This window comes from Homo sapiens, chromosome 4 (assembly GCF_000001405.40).
Source record: "Homo sapiens chromosome 4, GRCh38.p14 Primary Assembly".
NCBI lineage: Eukaryota > Metazoa > Chordata > Mammalia > Primates > Hominidae > Homo > Homo sapiens.
The window spans coordinates 79157826-79173881 of NC_000004.12; the positions used below are offsets into that span (position 1 = coordinate 79157826).

Below are 16056 nucleotides of genomic sequence, written 5' to 3' on the forward strand. Positions count from 1 at the left end.
ATCACACAAGAGAAAGAAACTAGGGCATCCAAATCGGTAAAGAAGAAGTCAAACTGTTGCTGATTGCTGATGATTTTTTTTTTTTTTTTTTTTTGAGACGGAGTCTTGCTCTTCACCCAGGCTGGAGTACAGTGGCGTGATCTCGGCTCATTGCAAGGTCTCCCTCCCGGGTTCACGCCATTCTCCTGCCTCAGCCTCCTGAGTAGCTGGGACTACAGGTGCTCGCCACCACGCCCTGCTAATTCTTTTTATTTTTTAGTAGAGATGGGGTTTCACCATGTTAGCCAGGATGGTCTTGATCTCCTGACCTCGTGATCCGCCTGCCTCGGCCTCCCAAAGTGCTGGGATTACAGCCGTGAGACACTGTGCCCGGCCTATGATGATAAGATCTTATGCCTCCAAAAAGCTCCTAGAACTGATAAATGAATTCAGCAAAGTTTCAGGATACAAAATTAATGTACACAAACCAGTAGCTCTGCTATACACCGATAGCAAATGAGCTGAAAATCAAATCAAGAACTCAACCCCTTTTACAATAGGTGCAAAAAACCCCCAAAACTTAACAATATACCTAACTGAGGAAATGAAAGACCTTTACAAGGAAAACTACAAAACACTGCTGAAAGAAATCATTGACAACACAAACAAATTGAAACACATCCCATGCTCATGGATGGGTAGAATCAATATTGTGAAAATGAACATACTGCCAAAAGCAATCTACAAATGCAATGCAATTCCCATTAAAATACCACCATCATTCTTCACAGAACTAAAAAAAAGTCCTAAAATTCATATGGAACCAAAAAAGAGCCTGCATAGCCAAAGCAAGACTAAGCAAAAAGAGCAAATGTGGAGGCATCACATTACCTGATATATATATATATATATATATATGGCTATAGTCACCAAAACAGCATGGTACTGGTATAAAAATAGGCATGTAGACCAATGGAACAGAATAGAGAGCACAAAATAAGCCCAAATACTTAGAGCAAACTGATCCTTGACGAAGCAAACAAAAGCATAAAGTGGAGAAAGCACACCCTATTCAACAAATGGTGCTCAGATGATTGGCAAGTCACATGTAGAAAGAATACAAAAGTCAACTCAAGATGGACAAAGGACTTAAATATAAGACCTGAAACCATAAAAATTCTAGAAGACCACATTGGAAAAACCCTTCTAGACATTGGCTTAGGCAAAGACTTCACGACCAAGAACCCAAAAGCAAATGCAAGAAAAGCAAAGATAAATAGGCTACACTTAATTAAACTAAAGAGCTTCTGCACTGCAAAAGGAACAGTCAGCGGAGTAAACAGACAACCCACAGAGTGGGAGAAGATCTTTGCAATCTATAGGTCTGGCAAAGCACTAATATGCAGAATCTACAAGGAACTCAAATTAGCAAGGAAAAAAGCAAACAATCACATCAAAAAGTGGGCTAAGGATATGAATAGACAGTTCCCAAAAGCAGATATACAAATGGTCAACAAATACATGAAAACATGCTCACCATCACCAATGATCAGGGAAATGCAAATCAAAACCACAATTTGATACCACCTCACTCCTGCAAGAATGACCATTAATAAAAAATAAAAAATAATAGAGTTGGCTTGGATGCAGTGAAAAAGGACATTTCTACACTGCTGGTGAGAATGTAAACATCACTATTTTAAAGTATACAGTTCAGTGATTTTTAATGTATTCACAAACTTGTACAATTACCATGATCTATTTCCAAAACATTTAATCACCCCCCAAAGAAATACTATACTATTAGGTTGGTGAAAAGTAATTACAGTTTCCTCCATTTTTAAAAGCAATGGCAAAAACAACTACTTTTGCACCAACCTAATAATTAGAAGTCACTCCCCATTATCCTTCCCTCTGTTCTTTGAAAACCATGAATCTACTTTTTGTTTGTATAAATATACCTTTTCCGGACATTTTATATAAATGGAAATATATAATATGTGCCCTTTCGTGACTGACTCTTTTCACTTAATATAATGTTTCAAAAATTCATTCATGTTGTAGAATGTGTCAGTTTTTTTCTTCTTTTATTGCCAAATACTATTCAATTATATGGATATACTAACTTTTGTTCATCTATTAGATATTTTTGTTCATCTAGATAGATATTTGAGTTGTTTCTACTTTCTTTTTTTTTTTTTTTTAAGACAGAGTTTTGCTCTTGTTGCCCAGGCTGGAGTGCAATGGTGCAATCTCAGCTCACTGCAACCTCCGCCTCCCAGGTTCAAGTTATTCTTCTGCCTCAGCCTCCCAAGTAGCTGGGATTACAGGTGCCTGCCACCATGCTCAGCTAATTTTTGTATTTTTAGTAGAGATGGGGTTTCACCACATTGGCCAGGCTGGTCTCGAACTCCTGACCTCAGGTGATCCAGCCGCCTCGGCCTCCCAAAGTGTTGGGATTACAGGCATGAGCCACCGTGCCCAGCTGAGTTGTTTCTACTTTTTAGCTATTATAAATAATCCTGCTTAAACATATGCGTACACATTTTTTATGGACTATTGTTTTCAATTCTTTTGATATATTATTAAGAGTTGAGTTGCTAGGTCCTATGGTAACTTTTTGAGAAGCTGTCAGACTGTTTTCCACAGCAGCTGCACCATTTTCCACCGCCAGTAGTGCATGGGGTACTAATTTCTCCACATGCTCAACACTTGTTATTGCCTGTCTTTTTTATTACAGCAATGACTGTAGATGTGAAGTTGTATCTAATTGTGGTTTTGATTTGTATTTCCATAATGACTAATGATTTTTTAGTATCTTTTTATGTGGCTATTAGCTGTTGGTATATCTTTGGAGAAATTTTTATTTAAATCTTTTGCCCATTTTAAAATCGAATTTTTAAACGGTTGAGTTGTGAGAGTTCTTTATATATTTTGGCAATAAGCCTGTTATCAGATATATATTTGCAAATATTTTTCCCCATTCTATGCACTGTCTTTTCACTTTCTTGATGATGTTCTTTGAAACATAAAAGTTTTTAATTTTATATATTATTTACATGAAAATTTAAGGAATCCAGAATAGGAAAAAAACACCCTTGAAAAAAATAAATGTGGGTGTTTAAGTAAATTTGGGATGGTTAAGTCTGATTACTTATTTTTCTTTTTCTGTTTGTGTATTTGGTATCATGTCTAAGAGACCATTGATTAATCCAAGATTACAAGGATTTAGGTTTTCTTCCAAGAGCTTTATACTTTTAGCTCTTACATTTATTCTGTGATTCATTTTGAGGGTTTTCTTTTGTCTATGTTGTGAAGTAGGTATCCAGCTTCATTCTTTTGCAAATTCAGTTGTCTCAGCATTATTTCTTGAAAAGACTATTCTTTCCCATTCCCATTCTTTCCCTGTTGCGCAGGCTGGAGTGCATTGGCACGATCTTGGCTCACTGCAACCTCCACCTCCTGGGTTCAAGCAATTCTTCTGCCTCAGAAGAATCCTGGAGCCCTTGTCAAAAGTCTATTGATCTTAAGTATAAGGGTTTATTTCTGGATCTAAATTCTATTCCAATTATCTGTATGACTATCCTTGTACCAGTAGCATACTGTTTTGATTACTATAGCTTTGTAAGAAATTTTGAAGTCAGAAAGTGTGAAACCCCCAAATTTATTTTTTTCCAAGGGTGTTTTTTGCTATTCTGGATTCCTTAAATTTTAATGTAAATTTTAGTATCTTCATGTCAATATCCACAAAACAGGAGGTTGAGATATTAATTGGGATTGCATTGAATCTGTGGACCAGGTTGGGAAGTATTTCCATCTTAGCAATATTGAGTCTCCTAATCCATGTATGTGGGATATCTTTCCTTTTACTTAGTTTTTTTTTTTTTTGAGATGGAGTCTTGCTCTGTCGCCCAGGCTGGAGTGCAGTGGCATGATCTCGGCTCACTGCAACCTCCACCTCCCGGCCTCCCGGGTTCAAGTGATTCTTCTGCCTCAGACTCCTGAGTAGCTGGGACTACTGGCGCATGCCACCACCCCTGGCTAATTTTTCTATTTTTAGTACAGACAGGGTTTCACCATATTGGCCAGGCTGGTCTCGAACTCCTGACCTCATGATCTGCCCACCTCGGCGTCCCAAAGTGCTGGGATTAGAGGCGTGAGCCACCACACCCGGCCTACTTAGTTCTTCTTTAATTTCATTCCACAGTATTTTGTAGTTTTTAGTATGCATGTGTTGCACTTCTTTGAGAAACTTATTTCTAAATATTTCATTCTTTTAATGCTATAAGTGGAATTATTTTCTTTATTTTATTTTTACAATGTTTATTGCTAGTATGTAGAAATATAACTGATTTTTGTATATTGGTCTTGCATCTTGCCATCTTGCTGAACTTGGCCCCTGTAATTTTGATAACCAGTAAATATTCCCATGTATTTCCAAAAGCTTCTAGGTTGGGAAAGGTGGTATTCTGCCTAAGTGAAGAAAGCTTGAGCATGATCTGAAAGGTAAGTGTTGAATCCCGGAGAACTAAATAGTTCTGCCTAATAAAAAACTGGGGGTCTTAGAATTGTCAGTGCTTAAAATTGGGATTGATAAGCCTCTTGACATGGAAAAAGAGACATGGATGAAAAGGACACACCTGCAAGAGTGACCCAGCTGCACTCATGGTGATTAGTGAGTACTAAAGAGGAGTGAATTAGAGAGAAATTTTTGTGGTGAGAATGCCAGAAGAATTGTAAATGGTCTTATGGTGTATTTTTATTTTATGCTGTCCACAAATATCCCATGATTATAACTAATCCTTTAGTCACAGTCTATGGCACCTTTGTGTATGTTTTACATTTTACAAAAGAAGAAAAAATGTTGTTTCTTAACTGAGTCAACTTGAGATTATATTAATCTGGCATGGCATGGGAATGAAATACTCTGGTTAATCTTAATCTATTTAAAAGGAGAGACAGCATTATGTTACATAGTCTACCAATATCCAAAGAGCTGGAATACTGTAAAATGTATCTCCATTAAGCTTTTCCTAAAGAGGCAACATGGTAGTGTCCATTATAGGAAAGGGAAAGATAAATAGAAGTAAATAGGAAGTATTTTTCATATATTATTATATACTAACAACATATGTGTTACATTTATGAAGTAGGAACTGTTATTACCATCATCCCATCTTACAGATAGGGAAACAAACTTCAGAGAAATTTAAACATTATTTAGAGTAATGCAGCTAATATAAGTGGTAAAACTAAGTCTCTGATTCCAAAGCCCCTCCTATTTCCACCATATTGTTGATTTTCAGGACATCTGTGTTGCCCAAATTCAGGAGTGCTGTTCACACAGAATACAACATGAATGGTGTCTTTTAGAGTTGGCAGCACAGCAGCTCTGAAAAGGAAAGAAGACTTGGGTCCTAGCTATGTGAACTGAGAAAGTCACTTACCTTTCCTGAATGTGCATTTCCGCAGTTGTACAATAGGGATTCTAATATCATCTCTTGACTACTGCGTGAGGCTTTGCTGTGAACTAGAAGAGATCATGTGAAAGGGCTTCATAAAAACATTAAGCAGGCCCTTTCTTCCATGAGAACTGTGGGGCTGTGGGGAGGGTTAAAAAATAAAAAAATAAATAAAGCAGATAGAAGTAAGGAATGGTGAAGAAGAGGCAGAATTGACATCAATTTCTTAGCCTGTCACTGGGTCATCATTACAAACATTAGCATTATACTAGAGGTGTCTGCTGGCATCAGTGCTTGGGAATTTTAGTTAATAGAATGCTGACTGACACAAGGTTTGTTCCCAGGTATTTCTGCAGAATGAAAGCTTCCAGGAGTGCAAGGCCATCCAGCTACATCCAGATTCTGTATTTAAAGGTGGATGCTTGGAAGACAGCTGGAGAGGCTGTGCTTGACTGGGAGTCTGGCAAGCTGCTTAGCATCCTCCTGAAGACACAATGAAAAGATCCTGTAGCACATTCTGTCAGGGGTTTGCAGGAGATAGGAAAGATTACCCTATTTGTTATATTTATTGGAGATATTATTATTTGTTTTATGCCGTGTGGAAGGAGGGCCAGAGCTATAATCTATTGATCATTTAGTTTTATGAAGTTCTCAAATGGGTGATCTGGTATTTTTCTGACAGAGAGGCTATGGTTCCTGAACACCAGTAATAAGGTTGTCATGTCATTTTCTTCTCGGTCTTTTTATCGCTTTTTATCTCTTTGCTGATATTACCTCTCCCCAACCTCACCTCCCTCTTGCTACTGTATTTTTTTTTAGGGCCATGTTTAGGACCAGGTTGATTCATTTCATAGAACCCATCCTGTGCTTTTAAGAAATTACTCATCTTGGTTTTTCATGTTTCATCCTGTGATGAAACAGTCTGCCCACTGCAGTCACTATTGTAGTCTTCATAGACTTCATAGTAAACACAGGAATTTAACTGGGGGAGAAATAGGTCAGGGAAGCAGAGACCAAATGTTCATTTTGCAGCCACGGTGTGAGCAGATGGGTAACAGAATGAAGTGGCTTTCTTTGTGGGCCTTGGTTTTCTGTGAACTCTTTCAGGATCTCCTGGGATTCATGCTCCTTCAAAATTCCCAAGTGTCTTGAGCAGACAAACATTGAGGACGGTGTCTTTCTAAGAGAAGACACCAAGGTTATTACCTTCCTATCTCCTCCCTTATCACACAGAAAATACGCTTGATGAGATACACTCTTTCACCCACTTAGTTATCTAGAAATGTGATAAAGAACACAAAATCTCCTTGGGAAACACTGCTAAACAGCTTGGCTCTCAACTGGTGACAAATAGCCCCAGGTGGTCACCAGTGGCCCCAACACAGACAAAACTCCATGCTTCCCTCGTGCCAGTCAGTCAGCCAGGTGAAGTGGTTTCAGATCATTCATAAGCTGGCAATATATGACTTTGCTCCCAAGGAACACAGAGTTAACAAAGAAGCTGTTAACAGAATGTATCTACCTTTAAGGGAAAGAGTATAATGTGTGCAAGGACAGCAGAAAGATTAGCAATGGCATCTCGTACCCAGGCTAGTGAAGAGTTAAGCATTGAATGACTGTGGGAGGCTGGTGTTATAGCTGGGGAACAACTGCCTAATGTCTTTCAACCGGATTGTTTAGCAAAGCTTCATTATGAACGTAATTGTGTGCTTGCACAGGCACACCACACGGAGGGAACACTCACAGTAAAGGTATGATTGTATTGCCTGCTGCCATGCCAATTACTGGATATTAATGGCAGGATGGCATGCATATGCCGGAGCTGGGAAGCAGAAGGTTAATAGACAAACAGCACCAGAAGAGCCCATTTATCAGTTTCTATTTATCTCTCCTTGGGAGGTGGCAGGTTTACAGTAAATACCTTCTGTCCTCCTAATTTCCTAATGATGGGGATAATGATGGAGAATGGTGAAGTCATTAACTGGGACAGGCTCTGTGCATCACTCTGTCAACCACATCTCCCCAAGACCTGCAATGAGAAGTGATGGGCCCCAGCTGTTCACCAGAATCTGAGCCCCTCCTCCCATCCCCTCCACTCTAAACTGCAGGCTTGGGAAATGGTTCCCCAAATGAAGAAGCTGGAGGCCCAGGGTATGCAAAGAATGAGAGAAGGAAAGCAAGTCTCTTCAGACAGGAGTAGAGCTCTTCCTGTTACTCTCCCTTTGCACAGAACCTGGAGGAAGTTGTGTTGACATATGCTGGAGTGCTTCTCCAGTGATGCCAAAGCTACCATGAAATATATGTAGAATTGGATAATGAATCAGTAATTAAAGTGAGTATGCTAGGGGAGGGTGGAGAAGCACATTTCACCCAATGTTCTTCTTTTTAAAAACTGGGAGACATCTACAAAATATATAAAGCATTTTCACAGCTCGCTTCAAAATGGGCTGCAGAGACTGGAGGAAAATCTCTTCTGCAGAGGTAAAGGTTTTTATTTTACAATCCTGAAGGTAGACGGAAACAGCTTAGATTGACTTGGCTGTGATTTTAAATTTATTCCTAATAGTGGTTACAAAGTATCTACTTCATCTAACTGTTTATACATAGTCTTTTGACTTAGTTATTGCCTAAAAGTAAGTGGTAACTTGGTTTTGCCTCAGTAATTTACAGAGCCTTTAAAGAAGGATGACTTTCTTTTCTTTTATTTAGGAAGCACATTATCTATTTCTAGAATTTACTCTCTATTAATTGAGGAAAGCTGTTATTTTACCTATAGGTGGTAGGATTATTTTGCTAGCAATAATGGAGAAGTACTTAAGCCAACAACAGCAAAACATGAAAGTATATCCTGGTGGCATGAAAGAATCTCAAGATCAGAGACATAGTTGGGCCTCAGGAGTAGACTGAGAAAACTTATCATCTTAACTTAAAATTGTAGCACCATCTTTCTCTTGCACGTCTTGCTGCTCTCTAACCACGGTTTTTTCCCCTTTCTATACACCTATGTTCTATTGTTCTTAGAATACAGAATGGGAAATAGAATTTCTTACAGTGCACAGTTTTATTATTTCAGATCCAGCTGAACAACTGAACTTTTTTTTAAGAGGCAGGGTTTTACTTTGATGTGGGGGCTGGAGTGTAGTGGTGCAAACATAACTCAGCTCATTGCAGCCTCAAAGTCCTAGACTGATCCTCCTCTATCAGTCTCCCTAGTAGCTAGAATTATAGGTGTGCACTACCATACCTGCCTATTACTTTTTTTTTTGAGACAGGCTGGTCTTGAACTCCTGGCCTCAAGTGATCCTCCTGCCTGGGGTCTCCCAAAGTGCTAGGATTACAGGTATTGTAATCCTAGCACTTTGGGAGGCTGAGGCGGGCGGATCACAAGGTCAGGAGTTCAAGACCAGCCTGCCTAACATGGTGAAACCCCGTCTCTACTAAAAAATACAAAAATTAGCTGGGCGTGGTGGCACGCACCTGTAGTCCCAGCTACTTGGGAGGCTGAGGCAGGAGAATTGCTGCAACCTGGGAGGTGGAAGTTGCAGTGAGGCAGGACACCCCACTGCGCTCCAGCCTGGGCAACAGAGCAAGACTGTTTCAAAAAAAGAAAAAAAAATTACAGGCATGAGCCACCATGCCTGGCCAGAAATCATCTGATCTTTATCATCTGTCTCTGTTTCTCTTTCTCCTACCTCCCATTTGAGGGGTGAAACTTTGGCCCAGTTTTGTCTCTTATAGCTAGGGTACTGGAATTAGTCACATGATTATGGGTGCTGGAGGATGGAGGTATGAGGTATGGGGAGTCACCAAGTCACCAAAGAAGGGGAAACGGAAGGGAAATTGTGAGCTATTAAGACAGCTTATTTTATATATATATATATATATATATGTATATGGAGAGAGAGAATAGACAACTTATTTTATATATATACATACATATATATACATATATACACATATATGTATGTATACACACACACACACCCACATATATATATATATATAGAGAGAGAGAGAGAGAGAGAGAGAGAGAGACGTGGTAAGAAATCAGGGAAGAGTACAGTCCCATCAGGACTTATGTTTTGGGAAATTTACTTCAACAACACTTAACAGTTATAAAAGCTCTTAACATCAGTCTAAATCAAGTCCAATGATAGGGATAGATATCAAGAACATCAGTTCTATGATAGGGATAATAGTATCTGCACCATACCTATTAAATGGGGAGTCATGAGGATTAAATGAGATGATGTTTCTGAAGTGCTCGATCAGTACCCCACCTAGAAAAAGTTTCCTAATATGTGGTAGCTATTATAGTTGTCAGTGTGAGTTTTCCAAGTTTGATAGTATCAGTCCATTCTCTCATTGCTATGAAGAAATAACTGAAGCTGGGTAAGTTATCAAGAAAAGAGGTTTAATTGGCTCATGATTCCACAGGCTGTACAGGAAGCATGAGGCTGGCATCTGCTTAGCTTCTCAGGGGGCCTCAGGAAAATTATAATCATCATGGAAGGCGAAGGGGAAGCCAGCACTTCACATGGCTGGGTCAAAAGGAAGAGAGAGATGGGGAAGTGCTACACACTTTTTTTTTACTCTTTAAATTTTATTTATTTATTTTATTGTACTTTAAGTTCGGGGATACATGTGCAGAACGTGCAGGTTTGTTACATAGGTGCACCTGTGCCATGGTGGTTTGCTGCACTCATTAACCCATCATCTACATTAGGTATTTCTCCTAATGTGTCCCTCCCCTAGCCCCCTACCCCCCAACAGGCCCTGGTGTGTGATCTTCCCCTCCCTGTGTCCATGTGTTCTAATTGTTCAACTTCCACTTATGAGTGAGAACATGCAGTGTTTGGTTTTCTGTTCCTGTGTTAGTTTGCTGAGAATGACAGTTTCCAGTTTCATCCATGTCCCTGTAAAGGACATGAACTCACCCTTTTTTATGGCTGCATAGTATTCTGTGGTGCATATGTGCCATATTTTCTTTATCCAGTCTATCATTGATGGCCATTTGGGTTGGTTCCAAGTCTTTGCTATTGTGAACAGTGCCACAATAAACATATGTGTGCATGTGTCTTTATAGTAGAATGACTTATAATCCTTTGGATATATACCTAGTAATGGGATTGCCAGGTCAAATGGTATTTCTGGTTCTAGATCCTTGAGAGATCGCCACACTGTCTTCCACAATGGTTGAACTAATTTACACTCCCACTAACACTGTAAAAGTGTTCCTGTTTCTACACATCCTCTCCAGCATCTGTTGTTTCCTGACTTTTTAATGATTACTATTCGAACTAGCGTGAGATGGTATCTCATTGTGGTTTTGATTTGCATTTCTCTAATGACTAGTGATGATGAGCTCTTTTTCACATGTTTATTTACCACATAAATGTCTTCTTTTGAGAATTGCCTGTTCATATCCTTTGCCCACTCTTTGATGGGGTTGTTTGTTTATTTCTTGTAAATTTGTTTAAGTTTTTTGTAGATTCTGAATATTAGTCCTTTGTCAGATGAATAGATTGCAAAAATCTTCTCCCATTCTGTAGGTTGCCTGTTCACTCTGATGATAGTTTCTTTGCTGTGCAGAAGCTCTTTAGTTAAATCTCCTTAAGCTGATAAGCAACTTTAGTAAGGTCTCAGGACACAAAATCAATGTGCAGAAATCAAAAGCATTCCTATACACCAATAATAGACAAGCAGAGAGCCAAATCATGAGTGAACTCCCATTCACAATTGCTACAAAGGGAATAAAATACCTAGGAATACAACTTACAAGGGATGTGAAGGACCTCTTCAAGGAGAACTACAAACCACTGCTCAAGGAAATAAGAGAGGACATAAACAAATGGAAAAACATCCCATTCTCATGGATAGGAAGAATCAATATCCTGAAAATGGCCATGCTGCACAAAGTAATTTATAGATTCAATGCTATCCCCATCAAGCTACCATTGATTTTCTTCATAGAATTAGAAAAAACTATTTTAAATTTCATATGGAATAAAAAAAGAGTTTGTATAACCAAGACAATCCTAAGCAAAAAGAACAAAGCTGGAGGCATTATGCTACCTGACCTCAAACTATACTACAAGGCTACAGTAACCAAAACAGCATGGTACTGGTACCAAAACAGATATATAGATCAATGGAACAGAATAGAGGCCTCAGAAGTAACACTACACACCTACAACCATCTGATCTTTGACAAACCTGACAAAAACAAGCAATGGGGAAAATATTCCCTATTTAATAAATGTTGTTGGTAAAACTGGCTAGCCATATGCAGAAAACTGAAACTGGACCCCGTCTTCATACCTTATACAAAATTAACTCAAGATGGATTAAAGACTGAAGACCTATAACCATAAAAACCCTAGAAGAAAACCTAGGCAATACCATTCAGGACATAGGCATGGGCAAAGAATGACTAAAACACCAATAGCAATGGCAACAAAATGCTACATGCTTTTAAACAACCAGATCTCATTAGAACTCACTCACTATCATGAAAACAACACCAAGGGGAACATCTGCTCCCATGATCCAATCACTTCCCACCAGGCTCCACCTTCAACATTGGAGATGACACGAATTGTATGTGACATGGATCCAAACCATATCAGACATGTTTCTGTTCTCCAAAGGTGAACAAGTCGTTTATAGCAAACGTGGCAGACTGTATTTTCAGAAATGGCCATAGCAGTATTTCTGACCCTACATGCTCTTCTGGATTATAGCCACGCCCACAAGAGGTGGATTTATTTCCCTTTCTTTTGAATTTGGGTGGGTCTTTATGACTGCCTTGATGAACAGAATGCATCACAAATGATACAAAGTGATGCTAGATCCTGAGATACAATACATTCCACCTAGGGCCAGCTTCATGCGCATGGGATTTGTGCAATCACACAGGGTCCTGCACTCAGAAGGGCCTCACATTGGTTGAATGCTCTACTGTTATTGTTTTGAAATTCTTGGTATTTTTGGACAAGGGGCTTTCCATTTTCAGTTTCCACTGGGCTTTACAAATTATGTCACCAGTCTTGCTTCCACCTGGCTCTCTATCACTTGGGACACATACATTGTATGCCTGTAGACATCATGCTGGAGACATGGAGAAGCCATGTGGAGATTCCATTATAAAGAGAGGACATTCAGATGTTTCTCCTCTCTGAAGAGCCATATTTTTGCTAAGACTTGAAGTCTATAAAACAGTTAATCAAGTGTATGCCAGGGAAGCTAGATACCCTGGCAGAAGCTAGAATGTTCAAAGACCCTGAGGTCAGAAAGGACTTTGCATTTTGGCTCCGTTTCAGGGACTGTGTTAATGTCTTTTTGTAATTGGTGGAAAGTTTGCATATGAAGGCCTAGAAAAACTTCAAGAAAACTTGAGAAAATATATTAATTTGTCTTTTCAAAAAATTAAGGCTTAGAAGTTTTATTTCTTCATTACCAGCCTCAGGCTTTCTCTCCTTTTCCTCTGTTCCTCCTTCTGAATATTTTTACATCTGTGATCTAAGTTTTTTTAAAAAAAGTAATCTTAAATGTTAGAGAAAAAGCCAAAACACTTGTTTTGTGTAAATACAAGAAAAATTTATCTTTGATTAACTGAGATGGCTATGTAAAGTAATAGTTAAATGTTATAGCATTCACAAAAAAACAAAAAAAAAATATAGCATTCACTAAAATCCAAGCTATGAAAGATTCTTTTAGAGTTTGTTTATACATTCAGTTAATATATATTTGTTATGTTCCTCTCATGTTGATAACATAGTGCTTGGCCCTGGAAACACTCTCTGCTCTCTTGAGATGTTAAGAATCTAGAGAATAGCCATGGTTTGAATGTGTCTCCAAAAGTTCATGTGTTGGAAACCTAATCCCCAAGGCAACAGTGTTGAAAGCTTGGACTTTTAATAGGTGATTAGGTCATAAGGGCTCTGCCTTCATAAATGGATTAATGTCATTATTGTGGGAGTGAATTATATATTGTGGGAGTGGGTTAGATATTGCAGGAGTTGGCTCTTGATAAAATGATGAGTTTGGCCCTCTTTTCTCTCCATGTCATGTTTACTCTCTTGCCCTTCCACCTTTCACTGTGGGATGACACAGCATGAAGGTCTTCACCAGATGTGGGCCCCTTGATCTTGGACTTCCCAGCCTCCAGAGCTGTAAGAAATCAAAATCTGTTCTTTATAAATTACCCAGTTTCAGGTATTCTGCTATAGCAGCATAAAATGGACATTTAGACTGTAGATAAAATATGGGCAAATACAGCAGTAATTATATAGTTATTATATAGTAAAGACTCTGAAGGGGGAGGTACAGGTGCTGAAGCATCTCATATGGATTTATAATGAAGCCAGGGATTATTTCAATGTGAACATAGCACCATTATTGTATAAGGTAACATAGATCTTATAATTTCAGAGAAAATGTTACCGTGGATTATTTACTTTGTGGCTTATCTATGATCAATATTTAATCTTAGGTTGCCTATCTCCTTGTTCTATGACACATATTTAGGAGTACTTAGCAAATTCTTAAAGGGACAAATCTACTATAAAATACTGTTACCCAAAATGAATCACAAAAAGTAATACAAATAACATTTGGTTGATCTGCTATTTGGAGATTCTGTGAGGAAAAGTGCCTAGCACAAATTCTAGTAAGTATGCATTAATTATTGGTTTATTTGTTTCTACTTTTTTTATTTTATGAGTGTAGAAAGTTGATTAGGTTCAGAAACTTAGGACATTAAGAAGAATATGAACAATAGGAAAGGCAGAAAATAATAAAATTGACAGGAAAAGGTATGAAATCAGGAACTTGTCTATTTTGCTATAAGTTTATATTCTTTTCTTTCATTCTGAGTCATAATCTGTGATTTTTATCACTTATACGTTGGAAAAACAATGCTTTCAAAGGCTTCATGACTACTCTACAGAATATAAAATGAAATAAATCAGTGAGGATATGCTCCCTCCTAATAATAAAAATTTCCCTCTCAAGATCTGTTTACTGATATTGGAACCATTTCCTTGAACCACTCTCAAAATTATATATTTTTTAAAAAAATTAATAAGACCCCCAATTGTATTGTGAAACTACTTATTAACTTTTTTTCCAAGGGAAAAAACAGTTTATCTGAGAACACAGTTGGCACTTTAATTATATGCTTTAAACACTTCCCTACAGATGCCAGGCAGCTATTTATTTTCTGGATTTTTTTCCCTAAGTCTCTGGTTGTTTGCACAGATGAGTTTTATTTAAACATATGATGAAAGTCAGTAACACTCAAAGTTTATTTTAAGAATATTTCCTTTACAGCCTCTCCTTCATGTACACAAGGGGGTCTCTATGTGGTTGGGAGGGTGGCAAAGGTTACCAAAATTACCTGGGGTAGCTTTTTCAAGCTGTCCATATCCTTCGCTCTTCTCTAGATTTAGAAGCACTTAAATAAATGTAAAACACCCTACCTCACCTTTAATTCCTGAGACTGAAAACTATAAGTCAGAATTAGTTGGGCAGTTACATAACAATCATGAAGAAACAGAATAGCAATCATAGAATACTAGTAGATTTAGAAGGGGTATTAGAGGCAATCTTGCTCAACTGTTATTTTACAGCTAAGACTGCAGAGGCACAGAGAGCTTAAATAACTCAAATTTGGCAGGACTTTAACCAGAACTGCTGTCTCCTGACTCCACATTTCATTCTTTTCCATAAGACCACACTTGTTGCTCTCTTAGTTCATATTAGATAGTGCAAATAACACCAATATGGAAACTCCAGCGAGCCAAGATGGATATACTTTCGTGGGTAGAACGAAAAGGAGATTTTGAAGATAGTTTCTGCTAATAGAAGACAGAATGCTTACTGTAACCTCAGTTGATGTAATTATATGAACTTGAGGTTAGATGAAAAGGTGAAAGGTTGTGGGGATAGTGGGACAGGAAGCGTCAGTGGCTCAGGCAACATTGATCTGTTGCAGTGCCAGTCTCTAATCATTCAATCAGCTATGTGTTGAACTAGATTCTATATGAGCTAATAAAAGTGTTACATGGTGGTACTCTACGGTTGGCACCACATTTTATACTCACTGGGAGATGGAAAAACACACAGGAGGTATATTGAAACTAGGTAGATTGGTAACCTTCACAAGATCCTTGTGTGTCTTGTTTACCATCTCATCTCATACATAGAACAGTACCTGGTATATACTAGATGTTTAATAAATATTGATTTAATAAGTTATTAACATATGATTAAGAACATAGATAAATACAACAACAAATAAAGTCTCTAGGATTTTGGAAAGAGGCTGTAACCACCTGGGAAAACTTCACAGAAAATGAGAGTTTCAGATACTGAGAATAGAACCACTAAGAAGCAGAAAAGAGAAGATATTCTCGTGGGGGAGAACAACGGCTGGGAGGGGAGGAAGCATGGCCAAGGCAAAGAGGTGGGCATTAATAAGGTATGTTCCACGTTCTGGGGCTAATGAGAAGACAATGTTAGCTTTATTTCTTTTTACTTGGAATGATATATGTTATTTATAAGGTTAAGTGAGATTTTACACAGCTTTAATGCCTAGGCTGGCCCTGGACCT

At 38.3% G+C, this 16056-nt stretch overlaps 1 protein-coding gene and 1 long non-coding RNA gene across 2 annotated transcripts in view; one reads left to right on the plus strand and one right to left on the minus strand.

Annotated features, from left to right (window-relative positions):
• LINC01088 (long intergenic non-protein coding RNA 1088) overlaps window positions 1-16056 on the plus strand; it is a 337052-nt gene that overhangs the window by 186078 nt on the left and 134918 nt on the right. The gene's annotated exons all lie outside the window — the stretch shown is intronic.
• NAA11 (N-alpha-acetyltransferase 11, NatA catalytic subunit) overlaps window positions 1-16056 on the minus strand; it is a 170686-nt gene that overhangs the window by 2450 nt on the left and 152180 nt on the right. The gene's annotated exons all lie outside the window — the stretch shown is intronic.